Below are 6,417 nucleotides of genomic sequence, written 5' to 3'. Positions count from 1 at the left end.
GTACTGTTTTGCTGTGACCATTGGTGGAGTCCTGACTGAGTCCTTGGATGTTTTCCTCTTTCGGTTTCTCATTTTTTCAGTTTCCAAATCCTCAAGTACAGAGCAACATCTTGTCCTGTTTCTTTGACATCCCTTGCCCCCTTAGGGACTTCAATGTGCCAACTGCTTGGCTTATGGAATCCCTATTTCCCCTTCTTCCTGCTGCTGAGCCTTGTTTTTGCTGGTCCAAAAAGGTCCCTTAGTTTTATTCAATTCACAGTTCAGGCCTTCTCTTCTCCCAGACACCTCTTCGGCAGGCCCCTCCACTAACATTGTCCACTGCCTCCCGCCATCTTTCTACCTGCCAGGAACTTTCACAACGGCTAAGTCAATAGGTTAAGTGACGGAACCAAAGCTGGCTAACTTAAGCCAAAAGGGACTTTGTTGTAGGCCTTTTGTGTAGCTCATAGAGTAAACAGGACTGCAAGACCAGGCCCAGAAACAATAGCTCAGGGTTTAGGACATGCAGCAGGCCTCCCTCAGCAGGAGCACCTGGCCACCTCTCCTGGCACACACATTAGAATGGGGGAGCGCTGCCTGTACCCTCAGTTCACAGTGCTCTGCTCAGCAGTCCATGTGAGAGGGAGTCCTGTCGGCCTTCTCAGGCCCTGGGCCAGCCCTAGGCTGAGGGAGTCACTTTGATTGACAGTTGCCCCAGGAACATGCAGCGATGTAGAGTTCACTAAAAGGAAGTACAACTGTGGTTAGAAAAGAAAGAGCATTGCCTAGTGTTTCAAAAACAAAGAAAACAAATGTTCACATAGACCTGCTACAGATTTGAAGGCTAGGAGAGAGGCTTGTGGCAGAGTGTGAGTGAGAGATCCCAAGCATCCTAATTCCTGGTTTCTAATTTCTTTTCATACCTGAAACACTAAGAATCCATTGGGAATGAATGGCGGTGATGTAAATAGTACCCTTGTTCTCATCTGGATTTGGCTGCCAGGTTACAAGTTGCTCCATAACTCTGGACAAATCACCTCACCTCTCTTGTCTCAATTGCTTTGTCTACAAAATGACACTTTAAGACTAGATGATGTCTCGGACACCTTCCAGCTATAAAGTTCCCCCCAAGGCTTTCCAGTTTTGCTTAATACACAAGGGAATGTGCACTTAGCATTGCATAAGGTAGCTTGGCTTTGTAAGATACGTGTTATCAGGTACGTGGTGTTTCCAAAGCAGTTTAGAGGGAGAGGTGACACTGTTTCACAGATAAGAATATAGTTCACACATAAAGTATTTACTCTATGGCAAGTATTGCTGTAAGCACTTTAATATGTTCATTCATTTAACCTTCACGATAATTATGTGAATTATATACTCTTATTACCTCCATTTTACTGATGAGGAAACTGAGGTGCAAAAAGGCTAAGTAACTTGTTCCAGGCCACAGAGCTTGTAAGTCCAAGAAGTGTTTCAGCTCCTAGGGTCAGTACCCTTAACCAGTACACACCGTGTAGCTTCTCTGACTCAAAGTAGTCAATTAAAAAACAGAACACCCACCCACCCCCGCCCAACACACACACACACACACACACACACACACACACACACAAATGCTGTTGTTTAGAAAGGCTGTGTAGTTTGCTTCCCTCCCCAACAACCTTGCCTAAATTACCTGGAAATATCTATACATATGTAGCAGTTTCTGCAGTTACCCAACCCTTCACTGGACTTTCCCCACCTAAACATAACTACCACCTCATTTGCCTTTGATGGTGAAACTTTAGTATGAGGTCAAGGGCATCTATTTCAAAAGAAGTCTAAAAAAACTTTTTTCAAAAAATAACGTAGGAAGATACACATGTGTGACCCACCACTTTTATTTGCGAGCAGAGTCTACTTTATTTGTACTTATAATGACCTTAGTGGAACATTTTTCAGCGTGTGCAACTTTGAACTGCTTCACTAACCAGATTAGTCAGGGGAAGAATTTCTCCTTCACTGGTGAGTCCAAATCTTATTACCGTGCTTGGGCCCGGTTACTAATTGCTGACATTCTGGACTTGCCAAATGCATTTAAAGAAGATGGCATGTGGGCGGGAACCTATATTTTCATCTTGGTAGATTTGATTGTACTTAATGGCCTTTCCCAATAGGCCTGGCCCTTGTGCTTTTAAATACAGAGCAAAAAATAGCTGTTCACAGCAAGACTGTTTCTAAGAGCTGGGAGGACCCTTGGAGACCATCTGGGCCAAGCTTTATCTTGACCCACAGGAAGCTGAAGCCCAGAAGTGAAAAATCATGTTGATGTGGAGGGCACCTCAGCCAGGAGGGGCTGTAGGCAGGTCACAGGCAGAGTGGGGGCCACACCCAGCTCTCCCTCCTGGGCTCCTCCCTGTGTGTCTCCAGCCTCGGCAAGGCCACGCTACTTACATGATGGCTTTGTCACATCTATGACCCACAAGCTCTGTTATTTATGTAATACCTTTCTTTAAATCAACCCATGTTTTAAACTTCATTTATTTTGAAAGCTTTCTTTAAATAGAAAATGGACACTTCCCACACAATAACGTCGCCCTACAATGGAGAAAGTATGGGAGGTGGACGGATCGGGTTCACAGACTTGTTCTGCCATTTCCTCGTAGGGCAATTGGCAAGCAAAGGAACTTCTTTGCTGTGCAGTTTCCTCAGCTGTAAAATTCATGCTAGTGCTGACCCCATAGGATGATAAGGGCATTATTGGCATGGGCACCTGTTAATTTACTTCCCTATTTTGATTCCCATTGATGCAATTTCTGCAGGAACTACACTAAAAATATTCAAAATGTTCTGTTTGGTTTTTCCCACATGACCTTTAGTGGTCAAAGAAAGGCAGGAGAGTGCCTTTGACTGCCACACCTGCCCTTCCAATGACATCTACAACTGTGTCCTCATGGAAGAAGAAATTGATGGCCAAGTCGACTCTCAGGAGCATTCAACGGGAGAAAATGAGCTTTTCTGCACCCACACACATTGTTTAAGAGCTTATATTCACATTTAATACCTAGCTGTCTGGGGGCCTCTAATGACCATAGTTCCTTTCTCAACCATGCTCGTTAATGGCCCCAAATCTCCTATGCAGAAAGAATTTAAGACTTCATGGAAAAATTGCTAAAGGGTGCCAAGGTGGAAACGATTTGGGGAAAATTTTTCTACACACTTCAACAAGGTAGAATAATGGAGTCAATAAACCCTGCCATACCAACATTAAGGATATTTATGATTTCTAGTTATAGCACTGAGTACATCCTATTTGATTAATTTGATTGTTCTGTCACGTGTAAACATATCTTGTAGATATTATATATCGTGCAAAGTGCTTTTTCTTTCCCTTTTCTTCCTCCATCCAAATTTTCAGTAATTTTAAACATTTTTTGATTTAGAACTGTTGAATTCCACCTCCCAGGTCCCACAGTGATTGTAGAGATGGGATAACTCTAATGTGTGAGATGGCAAATGCAATGCACAACTTGCTGCATCAGCTAGCAACTGCTGCATAACAAGTCACCCCAACACTTAAGAGCTTAAAACAACAAACATTTATCTCATCATTCTGTGGGGCAGCAACATGGGCTGGGCTCAGCCAAGGTGGTTCTTTTGGTCTCTGCTGGGCACCCTTATGCATCTGTGGGTAGCTGCAGGTCACAAGGGCAGATCTGCTTCTGGGGATTGGTTGCTTGTCTGGTAGAGAGCCTTGGCTTCCTCCATGGGCCTCATCACTCCATCAAGCTAGTCCAGGCTGGTTTACATGACAAAGGAAAGGGTTGGGGTGAGTGAAGAAAGAGTGAGCATGTAAGGCTTCTTGATGCCTTACATCAAGAAGAACTGGCACAGTGCCATTCCCACCACACCCTGTTGGCCAGAACAAGTCAAGGCCAATGCAGATTCAAGGTATTGGAACTAGACTTCACCTCTCGATGGGAAGAGCTTCCAAGTCAGTGCAAAGAGCATGGGAACAAGCAGGCCATTTACTGGGGCCACTGATGCAACAAATCTCCACCCTTACTGAGGAGATGTTTCTCAAGCTCTGTCCTTAACTCCCAGACTCTCCAGTTTGTGTCTTGCCTCTTTAAGCAGCCTGGCTACTGGAGTCCCCGGGAAGCCAGTTACTTTCATTCCCCTGATGCCTTTGCATCTTATTGTCTCCTAGCTTGCTCTTTCTCCCTTTCTCTTCACAGGTATTTCCAGTGAAGTCCCACTCTCCTCAACCCTCAGAGGATCTCTGGAAGGCCACACAGAACCTGGGACAGGAACCAAGGCACAGGGATGGGATGGAGACTCACAATTCACTGTTAACATTTTGATTCTCATTTGAATTTTTAACACACGCATCTATCACTTAAATTAATAGTAATGAAATTTTATTGCACTCTTCTTACCAAGTGCCAGGCATTGTGCTAAGTACTTGACCAACGTTATTCCATTCAGTCCCATGAAATAGGCAATAATCTTAATTCCCATTGTTTCATATAGATATAAAGAGGGTAAGTCACATGCCCAAGATCATGTAGTTAAACATTAGCCGAGCTGGTAATTGAACCCAGGCTGTCTGCCTCAAATGCCCATAGTCCTTGCCACTGCACTCTTGCCTTTTCTGCACAGAAGATATCTTGAAAGGGTTATCTACACTTGCTGTCTCCACTTATTGTCCACTCACTTCATACATAAGCACAAGCTGGCCTCTACCCTGATTAATCCATGAACTGGGTTCTCTCCAGGGTCAAAAATGACCTTGTCATTAAGTCAATTGCACATTTCTCAGTTTGTCTTTTGCTTGACTGCTGGGAGCTATTAGACTCTTTTGGCCACATATTCTTCTTGGAATATGATGCAACTTTGGATTCTCTGCAATCACACCTTCTGGATCATCCACCTCTGTCTCTATCACCTTTGCAAACTCTTCTCCTCTTCACGATGATCTCTCCTAGGCCTGCTTATCCTTCCAGTCTACATCCCCTGAGCAATTGAATTCACTCCCATGATTTCAGTGATAATAAATGGCCGACGGCTTCCAAACCTTCGTCTCCATCTTGAGCATCCTACTGCATCTTCCATTGGCAATCAGGCCTCTCCACTTAGCTGTTCCAAGGAGAACTCAGAAAGCCTTGAATGAATTGGACATCATGCTTCTGCCCATCACCATCAAAACCTCCCCTTCTTCCTTCATGTTTCACAATTCAGAAAAGCTCCACCCAGTAAAATAAATCAGAAATCTGAGAGTTAGCATTTTTGGAGGTGGGCCAGGCAGAGTGGGCCGATAGGCAAATGCATGCACCACCTGCAGGGGGCAGCCTCCCCCCAGCCTCAGTGCAGGCTGCTGCCCGCCCAGATGGAAGCCCATATTGCCAGACCTTTGGCCTTTTACACAACCAGCATTGCTATGTGAAATGCCCTGATTTTCAGAAATTGGCTACTAATTCAACCAAATATCAATAAAGCACTGTGCAGGTCAAATCTCCTGCTGACCAGGTGCAGTATGCAGGCTGCCAGGTCACACCTCTACCTGCCCACTCTCCTGGGTCAGCACACTCTCCCCCACAGCTGCAAGGGCCATTTCCGGCCAACACCCACATCTCTGTCTCCGGTCTGACCTTCTTCTTCAGCTCTAGATCCTCAAATCCATCTGCCCCTGCAGGCACCTCATGCTCAACCCATCATCCAACACTAACAGTCCAGTGTAACCATATCCCTCTGCTCTTTGAGAAAAGCTAGGAATCTGGATTTGCATGTGAAATCACCAATTTTTAAAACTCACATTAAAAAAACCATTTCAGATATAGAAATACTTTTTAATGGGTCAGACTTAACATGAAGGCCCCCAAGCTGCCACCCCTGACTTAATACAAGCTGACTAGCCACCAGGCACCATGCTGATGTTCAGTCCATCTTAACCAAGGCCCTAGAGGGGGTATTCCTATCCACATTCCCCTGTTTCAGGTGAGGAGGCAGGCTTAGCAAAATAGAGTAACTCACCAGGAAGTAGCACCACTAGTCAGTGGAGCTTGCTTCTGAGGCTTAGGTATTTTTGCCCAACTTTATTTCCCCTTAAGTTTGATAGTACAGTCTTGCTTTTCCTCTATCATTCATTTTCAGTACCATTTCCATTCCCAACCTCCACTCCTTTCCCATTAGAAGTGGTTTATAATTGAAGTATACAACCACCCAAATTCTTGTGCAATATCACATACACTAAAACTGCTAATAAGAGAAACTCTTGGTCTTCTTACTATCTCCCGGCTTGCTCTTTCTCCTTTTCTCTTCACAGGTATTTCCAGTATGTTCTACTCTCCTCAAACCTCAGAGCATCTCTGAAGGCCACACAAGAACATTTGTGTTTTAGCCCATTCTCATGCTGCTATAAAGAAATACCTGAGACTGGGTAATTTATAAAGAAAAAAG

At 44.5% G+C, this 6,417-nt stretch overlaps 1 long non-coding RNA gene across 2 annotated transcripts in view; it reads left to right on the top strand.

Moving 5' to 3' along the window:
- LOC107986129 (uncharacterized) overlaps window positions 1-5,034 on the top strand; it is a 90,956-nt gene extending 85,922 nt beyond the window's left edge. For both annotated transcript variants that reach the window (XR_001740896.2, XR_001740898.2), the window contains one exon: window positions 4,197-5,034. This is a non-coding gene — a long non-coding RNA (uncharacterized LOC107986129). The remainder of the gene's footprint in view (window positions 1-4,196) is intronic.
- The last annotated feature ends 1,383 nt before the right edge of the window (window positions 5,035-6,417 follow it).

Source organism: Homo sapiens, chromosome 3, assembly GCF_000001405.40.
Source record: "Homo sapiens chromosome 3, GRCh38.p14 Primary Assembly".
In the NCBI taxonomy this organism is placed as follows: domain Eukaryota; kingdom Metazoa; phylum Chordata; class Mammalia; order Primates; family Hominidae; genus Homo; species Homo sapiens.
This window is presented reverse-complemented; position numbering and strand designations above follow the sequence as displayed.